The sequence below is a fragment of the Homo sapiens genome, chromosome 3 (genome assembly GCF_000001405.40).
Source record: "Homo sapiens chromosome 3, GRCh38.p14 Primary Assembly".
NCBI classification, from domain to species: domain Eukaryota; kingdom Metazoa; phylum Chordata; class Mammalia; order Primates; family Hominidae; genus Homo; species Homo sapiens.
In genome coordinates, this window is record NC_000003.12 from 8,715,224 (window position 1) to 8,733,409 (window position 18,186).

The 18,186-nt window shown below is 45.7% G+C and overlaps 2 annotated features.

Annotated features, from left to right (window-relative positions):
* Nucleotides 606-806: a silencer, noted in NCBI's record as "peak4531 fragment used in MPRA reporter construct". NCBI's record gives its function as "represses an SCP1 promoter by STARR-seq MPRAs in K562 erythroleukemia cells {active_cell/tissue: K562}" and the evidence as "EXISTENCE:reporter gene assay evidence [ECO:0000049][PMID:32103011]".
* Nucleotides 8,418-8,919: an enhancer, noted in NCBI's record as "NANOG hESC enhancer chr3:8765327-8765828 (GRCh37/hg19 assembly coordinates)". NCBI's record gives its function as "activates a minimal SCP1, AML or CMV promoter by ChIP-STARR-seq in primed H9 embryonic stem cells {active_cell/tissue: H9 hESC(primed)}" and the evidence as "EXISTENCE:reporter gene assay evidence [ECO:0000049][PMID:30033119]".

Genomic DNA, 18,186 nt, shown 5'->3' on the forward strand with positions numbered 1-18,186 from the left:
TCACCCAAGCAACTTTCCTCCTGGCTGCAGCTCCAAGAGCTGCCCCCTCTCCACCAGGAGGAACTGACTTACCAAGGTGACAGTCTAGAGACTGCTTGCCCAATTAAAGCCATGATCCCCAATCTCACACTCCAAGTGAGGCCCCTCCACCCAAGAGGAATCCAGCACATGGATCCCCACTCCCACAGGCTGATCCCTACTCCCCACCCAAAGGTCGTCTCAGTTGTAAACCACAGGTCATCCTGATCCCTTTCAGAACCACCCTGAGGCCTAAGGAAAAGCCTTGGCCTCACTGCAATCAAATTCCAGCACCACTGCTTAGCAGCTGTGTTCCAGCAGGCACAGTACTGCACCTCTCTGAACCTCAGTAGCACCCACCTTCTTCTGAGAGTCATGGTGGCGATCCAGTGACAGCGGATACGATGTGTTTAGCACAATGCCTGGTGTCTAATCCTCAGAGCCCGTGCATTCAACAAAGATATAACTGGCAAATGTTACCTCTTCCTCCATTTAAAAAAACATTGATACCATTGATTAAGAACAATGGTAGCTGGGATCGGTAGCTCACGTCTGTGATCCCAGCACTTTGGGAGGCTGAGGTGAGAAGACTGCTTGAGCCCAGAAGATCAAGACCAGCGTCAGTGAGCAACAGAGTGAGACCGTCTACAAAAAAAAAAAAATTTTAATTAGACAGGCATGTTAGTGCATGCCTACTTAGGAGCGACTTAGGAGGTTGAAGTGGGAGTATTGCTTCAACCCAGGAGGCAGAGGCTGCAGTGAGCCAATATCATGCTACTGTATTCCAGCCTGGGCAACAGAGTGAGACTCTGTCTCAAAAAAAACCAAAAAAACGGGGGGAGGAGCCAAGATGGCCGAATAGGAACAGCTCCGGTCTACAGCTCCCAGCGTGAGCGACGCAGAAGACGGGTGATTTCTGCATTTCCATCTGAGGTACCGGGTTCATCTCACTAGGGAGTGCCAGACAGTGGGCGCAGGTCAGCGGGTGCGCGCACCTTGCGCGAGCCGAAGCAGGGTGAGGCATTGCCTCACTCGGGAAGCACAAGGGGTCAGGGAGTTCCCTTTCCGAGTCAAAGAAAGGGGTGACGGACGGCACCTGGAAAATCGGGTCACTCCCACCCGAATACTGTGCTTTTCCGACGGGCTTAAAAAACGGCGCACCGCGAGATTATATCCCGCACCTGGCTCGGAGGGTCCTACCCCACGGAATCTCGCTGATTGCTAGCACAGCAGTCTGAGATCAAACTGCAAGGCGGCAGCGAGGCTGGGGGAGGGGGGCCCGCCATTGCCCAGGCTTGATTAGGTAAACAAAGCAGCCGGGAAGCTCCAACTGGGTGGAGCCCACCACAGCTCAAGGAGGCCTGCCTGCCTCTGTAGGCTCCACCTCTGGGAGCAGGGCACAGACAAACAAAAAGACAGCAGTAACCTCTGCAGACTTAAATGTCCCTGTCTGACAGCTTTGAAGAGAGCAGTGGTTCTCCCAGCACCCAGCTGGAGATCTGAGAACAGGCAGACTGCCTCCTCAAGTGGGTCCCTGACCCCTGACCCCCGAGCAGCCTAACTGGGAGGCACCTGCCAACAGGGGCACACTGACACCTCACACGGCAGGGTACTCCAACAGACCTGCAGCTGAGGGTCCTGTCTGTTAGAAGGAAAACTAACAACCAGAAAGGACATCCACACCAAAAACCCATCTGTACATCACCATCATCAAAGACCAAAAGTAGATAAAACCACAAAGATGGGGAAAAAACAGAACAGAAGAACTGGAAACTCTAAAAAGCAGAGCGCCTCTCCTCCTCCAAAGGAACGCAGTTCCTCACCAGCAACGGAACAAAGCTGGAGGGGGAATGACTTTGACGAGCTGAGAGAAGAAGGCTTCAGATGATCAAATTACTCTGAGCTACGGGAGGACATTCAAACCAAAGGCAAAGAAGTTGAAAACTTTGAAAAAAATTTAGAAGAATGTATAACTAGAATAACCAATACGGAGAAGTGCTTAAAGGAGCTGATGGAGCTGAAAACCAAGGCTCGAGAACTACGTAAAGAATGCAGTAGCCTCAGGAGCCGATGCCATCAACTGGAAGAAAGGGTATCAGCAATGGAAGATGAAATGAATGAAATGAAGTGGGAAGGGAAGTTTAGAGAAAAAAGAATAAAAAGAAATAAGCAAAGCCTCCAAGAAATATGGGACTATGTGAAAAGACCAAATCTACGTCTCATTGGTGTACCTGAAAGTGACGGGGAGAATGGAACTAAGTTGGAAAACACTCTGCAGGATATCGTCCAGAACTTCCCCAATCTAGCAAGGCAGACCAATGTTCAGATTCAGGAAATACAGAGAACGCCACAAAGATACTCCTCGAGAAGAGCAACTCCAAGACACATAATTGTCAGATTCACCAAAGTTGAAATGAAGGAAAAAATGTTAAGGGCAGCCAGAGAGAAAGGTCGGATTACCCTCAAAGGGAAGCCCATCAGACTAACAGCAGATCTCTTGGCAGAAACCCTACAGGCCAGAAGAGAGTGGGGGCCAATATTCAACATTCTTAAAGGAAAGAATTTTCAACCCAGAATTTCATATCCAGCCAAACTAAGCTTCATAAGTGAAGGAGAAATAAAATACTTTACAGACAAGCAAATGCTGAGAGATTTTGTCACCACCAGGCCTGCCCTAAAAGAGCTCCTGAAGGAAGCGCTAAACATGGAAAGGAACAACCAGTACCAGCCACTGCAAAATCATGCCAAAATGTAAAGACTATCGAGACTAGGAAGAAACTGCATCAACTAACGAGCAAAATAACCAGCTAACATCATCATGACAGGACCAAATTCACACATAACAATATTAACTTTAAATGTAAATGGACTAAATGCTCCAATTAAAAGACACAGACTGGCAAATTGGATAAAGAGTCAAGACCAATCAGTGTGCTGTATTCAGGAAACTCATCTCACATGCAGAGACACACATAGGCTCAAAATAAAAGGATGGAAGGAGATCTACCAAGCAAATGGAAAACAACAAAAGGCAGGGGTTGCAATCCTAGTCTCTGATAAAACAGACTTTAAACCAACAAAGATCAAAAGAGACAAAGAAGGCCATTACATAATGGTAAAGGGATCAATTCAACAAGAAGAGCTAACTATCCTAAATATATATGCACCCAACACAGGAGCACCCAGATTCGTAAAGGAAGTCCTGAGTGACCTACAAAGAGACTTAGACTCCCACACATTAATAATGGGAGACTTTAACACCCCACTGTCAACATTAGACAGATCAATGAGACACAAAGTCAACAAGGATACCCAGGAATTAACTCAGCTCTGCACCAAGCAGACCTAATAGACATCTACAGAACTCTCCACCCCAAATCAACAGAATATACATTTTTTTCAGCACCACACCACACCTATTCCAAAATTGACCGCATACTTGGAAGTAAAGCTCTCCTCAGCAAATGTAAAAGAACAGAAATTATAACAAACTATCTCTCAGACGACAGTGCAATCAAACTAGAACTCAGGATTAAGAATCTCACTCAAAACCACTCAACTACATGGAAACTGAACAACCTGCTCCTGAATGACTACTGGGTACATAACAAAATGAAGGCAGAAATAAAGATGTTCTTTGAAACCAATGAGAACAAAGACACAACATACCAGAATCTCTGGGACGCATTCAAAGCAGCGTGTAGAGGGAAATTTATAGCACTAAATGCCCACAAGAGAAAGCAGGAAAGATCCAAAATTGACACCCTAACATCACAATTAAAAGAACTAGAAAAGCAAGAGCAAACACATTCAAAAGCTAGCAGAAGGCAAGAAATAACTAAAATCAGAGCAGAACTGAAGGAAATAGAGACACAAAAACCCTTCAAAAAATTAATGAATCCAGGAGCTGGTTTTTTGAAAGGATCAACAAAATAGACCACCAGCAAGACTAATAAAGAAAAAAAGAGAGAAGAATCAAATAGACGCAATAAAAAATGATAAAGGGGATATCACCACTGATCCCACAGAAATACAAACTACCATCAGAGAATACTACAAACACCTCTACGCAAATAAACTAGAAAATCTAGAGGAAATGGATAAATTCCTTGACACATACACTCTCCCAAGACTAAACCAGGAAGAAGTTGAATCTCTGAATAGACCAATAACAGGCTCTGAAATTGTGGCAATAATCAATAGCTTACCAACCAAAAAGAGTCCAGGACCAGATGGATTCACAGCCGAATTCTACCAGAGGTACAAGGAGGAACTGGTACCATTCCTTCTACAACTATTCCAATCAATAGAAAAAGAGGGAATCCTCCCTAACTCATTTTATGAGGCCAGCATCATCCTGATACCAAAGGCTGGCAGAGACACAACCAAAAAAGAGAATTTTAGACCAATATCCTTGATGAACGTTGATGCAAAAATCCTCAATAAAATATTGGCAAAACGAATCCAGCAGCACATCAAAAAGCTTATCCACCATGATCAAGTGGGCTTCATCCCTGGGATGCAAGGCTGGTTCAATATACGCAAATCAATAAATGTAATCCAGCATATAAACAGAGCCAAAGACAAAAACCACATGATTATCTCAATAGATGCAGAAAAGGCCTTTGACAAAATTCAACAACCCTTCATGCTAAAAACTCTCAATAAATTAGGTATTGATGGGACGTATTTCAAAATAATAAGAGCTATCTATGACAAACCCACAGCCAATATCATACTGAATGGGCAAAAACTGGAAGCATTCCCTTTGAAAACTGGCACAAGACAGGGATGCCTTCTCTCACCACTCCTATTCAACATAGTGTTGAAGTTCTGGCCAGGGCAATTAGGCAGGAGAAGGAAATAAAGGGTATTCATTAGGAAAAGAGGAAGTCAAATTGTCCCTCTTTGCAGATGACATGATTGTATATCTAGAAAACCCCATTGTCTCAGCCCAAAATCTCCTTAAGCTGATAAGCAACTTCAGCAAAGTCTCAGGATATATAATCAATGTACAAAAATCATAAGCATTCCTATACACCAGCAACAGACAAACAGAGAGCCAAATCATGAGTGAACTCCCATTCACAATTGCTTCAAAGAGAATAAAATACCTAGCAATCCAACTTACAAGGGATGTGAAGGACCTCTTCAAGGAGAACTACAAACCACTGCTCAAGGAAATAAAAGAGGATACAAACAAATGGAAGAACATTCCATGCTCATGGGTAGGAAGAATCAATATCGTGAAAATGGCCATACTGCCCAAGGTAATTTACAGAGTCAATGCCATCCCCATCAAGCTACCAATGACTTTCTTCACAGAATTGGAAAAAACTACTTTAAAGTTCATATGGAACCAAAAAAGAGCCCGCATCGCCAAGTCAATCCTAAGCCAAAAGAACAAAGCTGGAGGCATCACACTACCTGACTTCAAACTATACTACAAGGCTACAGTAACCAAAACAGCATGGTACTGGGACCAAAACAGAGATATAGATCAATGGAACAGAACAGAGCCCTCAGAAATAATGCCACATATCTACAACTGTCTGATCTTTGACAAACCTGAGAAAAACAAGCAATGGGGAAAGGATTCCCTATTTAATAAATGGTGCTGGGAAAACTGGCTAGCCATATGTAGAAAGCTGAAACTGGATCCCTTCCTTACACCTTATACAAAAATCAATTCAAGATGGATTAAAGACTTAAACGTTAGACCTAAAACCATAAAAACCCTAGAAGAAAACCTAGGCAATACCATTCAGGACACAGGCATGGGCAAGGACTTCATGTCTAAAACACCAAAAGCAATGGCAACAAAAGACAAAATTGACAAATGGGATCTAATTAAACTAAAGAGCTTCTGTACAGCAAAAGAAACTACCATCAGAGTGAACAGGCAACCCACAAAATGGGAGAAAATTTTCGCAACCTACTCATCTGACAAAGGGCTAATATCCAGAATCTACAATGAACTCCAACAAATTTACAAGAAAAAAACAAACAACCCCATCAAAAAGTGGGCAAAGGACATGGACAGACACTTCTCAAAAGAAGACATTTATGCAGCCAAAAAACACATGAAAAAATGCTCACCATCACTGGCCATCAGAGAAATGCAAATCAAAACCACAATGAGATACCATCTCACACCAGTTAGCATGGCAATCATTAAAAAGTCAGGAAACAACAGGTGCTGGAGAGGATGTGGAGAAATAGGAACACTTTTACACTGTTGGTGGGACTGTAAACTAGTTCAACCATTGTGGAAGTCAGTGTGGCGATTCCTCAGGGATCTAGAACTAGAAATACCATTTGACCCAGCCATCCCATTACTGGGTATATACCCAAAGGACTATAAATCATGCTGCTATAAAGACACATGCACACGTATGTTTATTGCGGCACTATTCACAATAGCAAAGACTTGGAACCAACTCAAATGTCCAACAATGATAGACTGGATTAAGAAAATGTGGCACATATACACCATGGAATACTATGCAGCCATAAAAAATGATGAGTTCATGTCCTTTGTAGGGACATGGATGAAATTGGAAATCATCATTCTCAGTAAACTATCACAAGAACAAAAAACCAAACACCGCATATTCTCACTCATAGGTGGTAATTGAACAATAAGAACACATGGACACGGGAAGGGGAACATCACACTCTGGGGACTGTTGTGGGGTGGGGGGAGGGGGGAGGGATAGCATTGGGAGATATACCTAATGCTAGATGACGAGTTAGTGGGTGCAGCGTACCAGCATGGCACATGTATACATATGTAACTAACCTGCACAATGTGCACATGTACCCTAAAACTTAAAGTATACTAATAAAAGAAAAAAAAAACAAAAAAACAAAAAAACAAAAAAAAAAACAGAACAACAATACTCATATGGTTTGGATCTGTGTCCCCACCCATATAGAAATGTAATCCCATTACGTTTAATCTCACATAGATTACATGTAATCTCACATAATGTAATCTCACATAGAAATGTAATCCCATTGCAATGTTGGAGGTAGGGCCTGGTGGGAGGTGATTGGATCACGGGGGTCAGATTTTCCCCTTGGTGCTGTGTTGAGATAGTGAGTGAGTTCTCGTGATATCTGCTTGTTAAAAAGTGTGTGGCACCTCCCCTTCTTCTCTCTCTTCCTCCTGCTCCTGCCATGTAAGACGTCTGCTCCCCCTTTGCCTTCCACCATGATTGTAAGTTCCTTGAGGCCTCCCCAGAAGCTGCTGCTGCTATGCTTCCTGTACAGCCTGCAGAACCATGGGCCAATTAAACCTCTTTTCTTTATAAATTACCCAGTCTCCGGTATTTCTTTACAGCAGTGCAAGAACCAACTAATAACAATACTAACTAATACCTGGACTCCCCGCCACTGTTATAAGTACTTTACATTCGTTAACTCATGGGGTTACTCCCTTAATCCTGTGACTTGGGAAACAATCACCCCATTTTACAGAGGAGGAAAGTGACACATGGTGAGATTAAGTAACTTGCCTGAAGTCACACTGAGTAAGTAAAAGCTAGGAGGAATCCAAATTTATACGACCCAATGTATACCTCATCTTTTCAAAAACACAAATCTCAAGATTTTCTGTGTTTAATGTAAATATGATGGCCTTAAATATCAATTCAAAAGTATTCAGAATCCAGCTGAAAGCTGCCGGGACTTCTTGACTCCCCTGTGACACGAGTCATTACATATGCATAGGAATAGCCACCCCAGCTTTGGAAGAACCAAGAGGCAGCACATGCAAAGCGGATTGGCTGTCAGCCACCTCCCTGCTCTTGGAGCAGACATTCACCTTGATTGGAGCCAGGCCCACATTCACAATCCTTGTCTTCTTCTCTCCATGAGAAACAAATGCAGAGATGCCAGGGGTTCAAACCTGAATAGCTCGCATGAACACATACAACAAGGCACAATTTTTTCCAACATTCTTCATTCACAGAATTTCTCGGTTGAGCACTTCTGCTCTAATTTTCTTTCCAGATATGAATCAGTGTGAAATTATCTCCATTTATTCACTCCATATATGAATCAGTGTGACCTTACCTTCATGCAGTCAATCAACAAGTATCTATAGAGTCTCTACTGGGTGCCAGGCCCTGTTCCAAAAGCTAAATTCACAACAACAACTTATTCCTAATTCTTATTCATTTCCTAGGAATGAGTGTCTTCCACAAGTTCCTTTTGGTCTCTGGAGGGGTTCGTACAGTGAAATCTTCAGAACATATGGTCAGAAACCTTGAAAATTCCATGGGCTCAATTATTCCCAGTTAACCTAGCTCTATTAAAGAAAAGATTGTCCTGTCCCAACCCATTAGTTAAATCCATGGCACTCCAGCAAGCCTGCCTGGGGTGGGTTATGAGGCTTTGCTTCTCCCTCCATGTTGCTTCCTTTATTCTGGCTCTACCCTCCTTGCTCAGTTTGCAAGCTTTCTTCCATTTCCATTGGTCTCCATGCACCAACCGCAGAGCCACTTTCTCCTCCTCACCTCTGCAGAGCCAGACGCCTACTTCCTGCTTCTTTTCCCCAACCCTACCACCTCCTTCCCCAGCCCCCTTGGCTGCAGGAAACCACACAGCAGGACCATTCTACCTGGTCCACTAAACAAAGATAAAATTAAGGTCTATTAAAATGACATTGCAGCCAGGCACAGTGGCTCCCATCTGTAATCCCAGCACATTGGGAGGCCAAGGCAGGAAAATCACTTGAGCCCAGGGGTTCAAGACCGACCTGGGCAACATGGCAAGACCTCCTCTCTACAAAAAGATTGAAAAAAAAAAAGAAGAAAAAAAAGAAATTAGCTGAGTATGGTGGTATGCGCCCATGGTCCCAACTACTTGGGAGGCTGGGGTGGGAGGATCATTCAAGCCCAGGAGGTCAAGGCTACAGTGAGCCATGAGTGCACCACTGCACTCCAGCCTGGGCGACAGAGCAAGACCCTGTCTCAAAAAAAAAAAAGTGACATTGCATTTTCCCTAATAAAATGAATGCCTCCTACATTACCACACACAAATAAACAATGGAGGTAAATATGCAAGCTGACAAAAATTAAAACTTCTCTTAAACCCCACACCAACCCTACAGCATGTGGAAATGAAATATTACGGGGAGAGCCTCACATATCTGAGCAAAACAAAATAAAGACCAATAGCAAACCACAAAAGTTTTGTTTCCATGAGAGTAATTTTTATTTACCTGGCAGAGGTGCCAAGTTCATCAGATATATGCAACCTAATGAGTCATTCTCCTTCACTGCCTCTATTTAATGATCCGATTGAATGTCTCACAGCTTTTCCTTGAGGTGACCAAGATCCCATTTGTTTAAACATTCTATTAAACTTCTGACAGTCATTTTCTACACATGCCATTATCTTCATCTCCTTTGAGGCAGGGTTGAACTTTAAGCTAGAGTTGACCAAGCTGGAGGTGGTTGAGGCATTTTATTTCATTTCAGGTCCTTGGCAGCTAACCCTGCACATTTGCTCCTAATGTCAGTTGCTTACTCTGTAACTCCCAAAGGCTCTGTCTTTCTAATTTTCAATCCACCAGGATTCAGTGTGGCATTGCAAGCCCCACACTGTGTAGATGCACATTCTGTAAACTTTTCTTGCCTGGATTTTGAAAAAGGTTGTGTTTTTCCCCGTGAAAGACCCACCACAACTAGGCAATGCCACAAGAATATCAGCCTTCTCCTCCCCCCGAAGCAGCCGCTCTTCTTATTCACAGTAGCTGTTCCAGCCTCCCTCCCCCATCATTTGATGCTAAACTCAGCCCCTTTTCCAGAATCCAATGACAACAGGCATGTTGAACTTGTGAAGCTTTTATGAAGATGGTGAGGAGTCGCACTGCAGGGCAGACAGATGGTGCTCCACCCCCAAATCCCACCAACAACTCCTTCTTTCCCTCAGTCTCTCCCTGGCCCAACCACCTGGGAGCCCCATGGTCTGACCGCCTCCTCCCCACTGCCAGACAGTGGTTCTAAAACTAGGAAATCACTGGAGGGGAGCTTTAAAAATTACAGGTGCCCGGGTTCTAACCCAGACATTCTGCTATCACTGGTCTGGGGTGTGGCCTGGGCATTGAAATTCTTTAAAGCCCATGAGGTCACAGCCCCAGACTACAGGTCCCCTCTCAGGCTGGGCCATTCTGCCCCATCCCTGGATTTGCAACCCCCACTCCTCTTGGAGTGAGCTGGGCATGTGATCTCCGATTTTCCACAGTCCCCACTTCTCCTTGTTGTCTCCCCACACTGAGGCTGGGCATCCCTGAATTTTTTTTTTTTTTTTTTTTTTTTGAGACGGAGTCTTGCTGTGTCACCCAGGCTGGAGTGCAGTGGCCAGTGGCACAATCTCAGCTCACTGCAACCTCTGTCTCCCAGGTTCAAGCGATTCTCCTGCCTCAGCCTCCCGAGTAGCTGGGACTACAGGCATGCGCCACCACGCCCGGCTAATTTTTGTATTTTTAGTAGAGACAGGGTTTCACCATATTGGCCAGGCTGGCCTTGAACTCCTGATCTCAGGTGATTCGCCTGCCTCTGTCTCCCAAAGTGCAAGGATTACAGGCATGAGCCACCGTGCCCAGCCCCTGATTCTTATGGTAATGATTGCCCTGTCGGTTTTCCTATAGCTCAAAAGAAAGGTGTGTTTCTCATCGCCATGTCTATCAAAAAAGAGATGATCAATGAGGCTGTGGGTGTCTTCCGCCTGGCCTGTGTCATTCATTTACCTTGAGGGCATTTCAGTTTGTGAGCCTGACATGGTCCTCACATCATCCTATTATTATCATTCCTATTTTACAGGCAAGTAAACTGAGGCTCAAGGTCATACACCTTATGACTAGCAGATTCTCTCAGGTCAATTGAATCAAAAGCCCAAGCTCTTAAGATCTACAGGATCCTGCCCTCTTCAAGTGAGCTACCCTAGGACCCTACCCTGTACTATTCCCAGAGAGCACTGGCAGTTGGAAATTCCCCCTTAAATAAAGCCCCCCATCTGCTTCTCAGCTGCAAACATGACACACACATAGAAAGAGAGGGAGGGAAAGTGAGTTTGGGCGCCAGCTGCATGTTGGCTGACCAGCAGGTTCTGCTCAGCTGGGGACCAGCAGTGTCTTCACTATCTGGATGGACAGCCCTAGAGATGGGGCCCCAGGATTTCCACGGAGCCAGTGGCTGTGGGCTGGAAAGGAATCAAGGAACTCACAGCCAACAGGCAAGAAGCACAGGAACCCCTGGTTGACCAAAAGTGTGGGATTGACGGGGAACAGAAAAGGCAGAGAGGAGGTGAGAACCTGGATCACAGCTCCTGATTTGGAGCAGAGGTTGAAAGGATGCCCTTTGGAGATGGAAGAAGGAACACAGGTGACCTCTGAAAGCTAGAAAAGGTAAGGCCATAGATTCTCCCCTAGAACCTCCAGAAGGAATGCAGCCCTGCTGATGCCTTGATTTGAGGACTCATGACCTGTAGAACTGTAAGATAATAGATCTGTGTTATTTTAAGATACATTTATGGTTATTACAGGAGCAATAGGAAACGAATACAGTTAGAAGTTTGGGTCCTTCTAGCATGTATTAGTTTGCTAGGGTTGCCATGACCACCGACTCGGGGCTTACATAGCAGAAATGGATTGTCCCACAGTTCTGGAGGCTGGACATCCGAGATCAAGGTGGGCAGTCATGCTGCCTCTGAGGGCGCCAGGGTAGGCTCGATTCTAGGCCTCTCTCTGAGCTGCTGGTAGTTCCCTGGCTTGTGGCAGCAGAACTCCAATCTTCACATTGTGTTTTGTGTGTGTGTGTGTGTGTGTGTGTGTGTGTGTTTGTGTGTGTGTATGTGTCTATATATTCAAATTTCCCCATTTTATAAGAATATTATATTGGCTGGAATCTAATATTACCAGTCATATTGGATTCCAGCCAACCTCAATGACTTAATAGCTTCATCTTAACTCTGATCATCTGCAGAGATCCTATTTCCAAATAAGGTCCTATTCACAGGTACTGGAGGTCAGGACTTCTACAGCTTTTGAGGGAATACAGTTCAACCCCTAACACACCATTATTCCTAAAAGCTGCCCTCCTCTACAAATCGCAGGGAAGGAGGGCAATAATTATTTCCCTGCAAGAAAATGACCCTCCAACTTCCTCTGTCTGTTCCCCAAGCTCCCTCTCTCTGTTCCCCAGAGGCCAACACCCAGTGCTCTGGGGCAGTGTTCACCTCCCCCACTGACTCGATGGAACTTCAGCACACGCTGCAGGGATCTGGGGGTGCTCAAGGGCCTCCCTCATTCCCTACGAGACTGGGAAATCCTCCCAGGCAGGAGCCATGTCCGTCCGTGATCCTAGGGCTTCCTCCCAGTGTTTGCCACCTGCCTACCCCAGCAGGCAGCGTGCCAGGCCCTCTGTTCATCACTGTTTTTTCTTGTCTGCCTCCCCAGCAGAACTGTGCAATCTACCAGGTCAGGGTTCAAGTCTTCTTCACTGTTTTATCCTCAGCATCTGCTATGTGCTGCACACCCAGTAAGCGTTTGTTGAAATCATGCATTATTCATCTTTGTTTCCCATCCACTGAGCCTAGGAAAAACACCAGCATGAAGTCACTATGTGTTGAATGAAAATATAGCCCCTGGAAAGCTTCCCTCAATGCAGAAGAGTTGAGTTCAACCTGTTTTCAAAAAAGGCAGTGTGGTGTATGAGGTGGGGCGTGCTCTGAATCTCTAGGGCAGCGTGTGTGGCTCACATCTGAGGCTTAGGCCAGATGAAATTGAAGCCAGCTCTTTTTGACTCAAACCAAGATCCTCTGGGAGGCTAAGTAGACAGAGACAAGGAGAAATGATGACTTATCTCTCATCCTCACCCCTCAAGAATTCTGCAGAATGAGGTTGCAGACAGAACCAAGGGCTCATCTTCAGGGCACCCAGTCTCTGGAACATCCATTTGGTCTGGGGTATACATCACAGAGCTCAAAGAGACATGCAGAAACCCCAGCCCAGAGAGCCCCGCCCAAGTGTCAGGACTCTGTGAATTCATGAAGACGTTCTGAATGCCAAAGCACCTGATATTCTCAGAGACTGAGGCCCACCCTGGGCCTTGCTGAAAGTAAACAGCAAACGCTGTTCCCACCCACAAGAATACACGCCCCTTCCCCAGAGCCTGCTCCAGCATGGTCTCTGAACAGGGAGTTTTCACTGTTGGTCCTGAAGGCTGGAAAATTTTCCATCTCTTTTCTTTCACCTGGGAAGCAAAGCAGGTTCTACCTGAGTATGGCAAGGGCCAGTCTCCCCTGTCCTGGCATCTGCTCTTGGAGGGGAGTATGGCAACTTGGGGTTCACTTACTCATTCTCATTGTCTGATGGATAATCAAGTCGGGTGGAAGGAATCCCAGTTAGATATGGGACTCAACTCAGAGCTATTTTCCCCCAGGTGGGAGAAGTAGGTAAGGAGAGCGAGTCTGTACTGGCTCGAACGTGAAACCGAGGCCGTCCAGACATGGCTCGGGACAGCACCAGCCCAAGACGGCTCTGATGACCCAGGACTCTACACAGGGTCTGCAAACTGCATACAGCCCATGAGCCAAAATCGTGTTTTTACAATCTGGCTGCCACTTATTTTTGTAAATAAAGTTTTACTGAGACACAACCATAGCCCCTTCATTTACGCATTTTCTACAGCAGCTTTTGAGCTACAAGGGCAGAGGTGAGTAGTCGCGACAGAGACCACATGGCCCACGAAATCTGAAACCAGGGCAGTGCAACCCATAGGGCCCCATGCTTGGGAGATGCCACAGCTTGATTTCACCATGTTGAAATTTTTAATCATTTTTAAACAAGAGCTGAATTTTTGTTTTTCTCTGGACCCCTCAACTTATATAGCCAGTCCTGCCTGAAAGATTTACTATATGGTCCTACAGTTTGCCCTGTTCTTCTCCTTTTTTAGCTCTTGGTTCCCTTTCACTCTTCTACCTTAATGTTTCTGGACCCAGGAAGCCAGCCCCTTTCGGAAGCAGTCTATTATATCTCTGGGAAACTTTGAGGCAGTCCTTCCTGGTACCCTTACCGAGAACTATATCAGCTATCATTATCAGTGGGGCCAACGATGACCCAGGCCCTGGGTTGAGTCAAGCGAAAGTCTGCCACTTACTCACCAGTCCTTGGGACCTCCCAGAATAAATCTCATCCCTTATGCCTTCAGAGATTTGAGGAAAGTTCTTCCGTCCCTCTCTCTGAGTCTTCTCTTTAGAACCCAAAATTGTCTGTTTCTCACAAGACATGTTTCAAGCTCTTTCTTAAAGGAGCTTCCTTCCTCTATAGAGATGATCTAGTTTCCCAACACCCCTCTTCAAGCATGGAGCCCCACTAGACCTCCAAGCGTAGTCTGACCAGTGCACAGTTGAGTAGGACAGTCACCTCCATTATTCTAGAGTGTTCATCTCTATTGATGCATCCTAAGATCACTCTGTCTATTTTGGAACCCATTCCAAAAATCTCCCAGATCCCTCATGGTAGGAAAAGATGGTCCGTTATGCTCATTATATAGGTGAGTAAACCAAAGTTTGGGAGGGAGTGGCCTGCTCATGGACATATAGCAGTTCTGTCTCCAAATCCCAAGCTCTCCAGTCCACCAACTGAGATTTTTGGGCCCTCGGTTTCTACATCTGTAAAATGGAAAAGCTGGGTCTCTTCGAGCTCGAGCATACTGTGATTTGTTTTCTAAATGCAGACCCCAAAAGCCAAGTCATGAAGAAAACAGAAGCTCTCAATCCAGATCTAAAACTTGTAGGAAAAACAAAAAAAAGCTTCCTTTCCTGCTGATCATTCTAGAGTTACTAGCCTTGGAAACATTTGCATGAGTGATCAATCTTGCTTGTTAACAGTAGCCCTAGACTTGTTAGCTCACTGAGTTTTCAGTCCATGGTACCATTACTTTCTTAGTGACTCAGCTCATGTAAATCTTTCCCTTTCCCATTACTTCCCCTTTGGACCCTCCACAAATGTGTCTTCCTGCACATCCCATTTTCAAAATTCTTTTCTCTCTCTTTTCCCTGGCAAGCCAAATAACAACAACAACGACAAAAATCCTTTGAAATAAGAACGCTGTGTCCTCTATAAAACCCCAGATACAAAATGGGCTCCGGAAAGCCACTCTCTCTCCTTAATTGCTTTCTCTTGTTAGCTGCATCACCCCAGGGTTGACTTGAAAGTTTCATCTGTCAGTACGTTCTCTTCGTAACATTTTTTCTGTGAGTACACAGCCCCTCTGGTGCCCCATTAGGTTTTCCCACTGAGTGCGGGGGCACAGACTCATGCGTGGGGAATACAGGCAGGTTTTACCATCCAAACTTGACAAGGACCCCAGGCCTCAGAGAGGGGGCTCAGAGTTGCTTCACGATAGGGCCAAGAAACAACTAATGGTTCCCGGCTTCAGTGCTCTTTTCACCAGTGAGGTTTTTAGAAATACAATTGTCATAAGAAAGTGAGAGATGACCCTTTCTCTGCCTCTGGCATCTGGCCCTTTCCTCTCTGCCTCTCTGAGTCCACTCATCCTTCTGGCCCAGCTGAAGTACACTTCCTTCCTGTGAAATCCACAATGTGTGTTAGTTGCTCCACTCCCTTGGCCCTCAGCACCGATCACCAGCTAGGGGCACTGACCCTTTCAGATAACAAATGAGCCTCCTTACACACACCAAGGATGCCTAGGAAGGAAGCCAAGCACATAATGATTCTCAACAAACAGTAGTTGCTATTGCCATTAGCGCTCATTGATCCAGTGACTATGGTTGTGAAACAAGCTCCCCCAAATTCCAGTGACATAAAAAAATGATTATGATCATGAACTGTGTGGTTTAGATATTCAAACAGGACACAGAGAAGACAGTTTCTCTGTTTCATGGTGTCTGAGGCTTCAGCTGGAAGACAGGAAGGTTGGGGATGACTTGAAGACTGGCGACTGGGAACATCCAAAACTTTGTTCACCCTCATGCCTGATGCTGATGTTGGTTGACAGCTGGAGCCTCAGCTCCTCTCTATGTGGTTTTCCCACATAGGCTGGTGTGGACTTCCTCCCAGCGTGGTGACTGAGGTCCAAGAGCAAGAATCCTGAGAGGAGAGAGCCAGGAAGCCAGCCAGGGAGGGAACACAGACCCTCCCTCTTGGTGGAAGGAGTGTCAATCTCATCATCTTTGGAAAAGATGGCCTTCCATAATCATTATTACTATGTCGTTATTATTACTTCCCCTTTAGGATGATGAGTTCTTCTAGGTGGCTCTTCCATCCCTGGCGACAAGACTGCCATTAGCTGGCCCACCTTTCACCAGACATATCTGGTTCTACGGTGCACAAAGCTTAAGCTCAGGCTTAGATCCCTGCCACGTCCCTTGTGAATACAAGCAGCAATGTTCTTTTTTTTTGTTACAATCTCTTTGCAGAATATTCATGTACCTGGGACCAGGGGGACCTGGGGACCCAGGCAAGGGAATGGAAAAGCAACAAAAAAAGTTACCTCTTAATCCTAAGCGACTTAGGGACAGTTTTCTGGTTGCCCACCATTTATCCCTAGTAACACTGTGGGGGTGCCGAAAATGTGCTCAAGCTAAAAAACCTACAGTTCCATCATCGTTTGCCAAGACAGGAGTGACCAATGAGATATAAACAGAAGTAGTTGGGTTGGACTTCTAACAAAGCTTTATAACAGAGCCGACTCAGTTCGCAGATGTCGTTTCTTGTCCCTGCCCCTTCCTCTTTCTTCTTATCCAGACTCAGAGATGATGATTGGAGGAGCAGTAGACATCTTGTGCCTATGAGGTGGCTTTCGGGCTAGCAGAACAGAAGGATGGGAGTCCAGATGTCTGAAGACATCATGGAGCCACTATAATATTTCTGAACTACTTGTGTTAAGTGAGAAAAAAAGTTCCTACCTTATTCAAGTCACTATTACTTTTGCATCCTTTGTGTTACTAGCCAGGTGTAATTATTGATAAAGCCTAAATCACCTCTGGTTTTCCCCCTCCTACCTCAAACTTCACCCAGCTCCAATCCACCCTCCACCTGGCCACCAGGGAGCTTCCTCACACACAAATCTGATACCGACCCTGTCCTGCTTTGAAGCCTTCAATGGCTTTCCAGCACCCCTAGACAAAATCCACATTCTTTAGTATGACATTTGGGATGCTGCACACCCAGGCCTGAGCTGAGCTGTATCTCCTGCCTCAACCCCAGACACCCTGTGCTCCAGCCACTCCACACTTTTCAACATTCCTGTCTATACCACTCCTCAATATCCACAATCCTGTAACTTGAAGTGTTCTAGGTGCTGAGCTCCTGCTTGTCATTCGATACCTATCTGCAAAGCCACCTCCCACAGGAAGTCTTCCCCGGTGTCCTCAGAGTAAGTTACTGACTCCTATGGACTTCTAAGACCAGCTCTTTGTAAAATATCTCTGATCTGTGGCACTTACCGCACAGTATTATAATCACTTATTGTTTTAATTAGTCTCCCCACCTTGACTGGGAGCACTTCAAGGCGGACAGAGCCTTGTTGGTCTGTTTATCCCCAGCTATTAGCAAATCCTGAATGAAGGAGTGAATAGACAGGTAAATGGAAGCACAGACCCTGACCCCTGAGGATTCAGAGTTGCCATCCTTCATGCTGCTGGAGCCCAGGGGAAGGCTGAGTTAGAAGAGGGCACAGAAAAACCGAGCAGGTATCTAAGAGAGGTGCACCCCACTGATGCATGTGGAGTGTCTGGGACCCAAGAAAATCCTGGAAGCTGTCACTAGGGCAGGGTGAAGGGTAGCACGAACATGGACTTCATGTTCCCCCCACCGGGCATATCCCAGTGCAGGCTCCAGACGGCAGACGAGGGGCAGCCCCACAGCAGCTTCCTCTCCCTGTTTCATCCCCAGCCTGGCCCCACACCACAGTCCATCAACTCCTGCTCCAGGTGGAAACCTCAGAAACCCACAAAGCTCGGACCTGCTCCAGGTCACCAAGCAGCAGGGCCAGGCACTGGCAATCCAACGAGAAGCCCCACTACATCGCATTCCAGCTCCTGAAGCCATTCCCTGGGTAGGAGAGCCCTGATTGTTATTATCATCTCTCCATTTTACAGATGGGGACAGAGTGGCCTAGAGAGGTGAAGTGT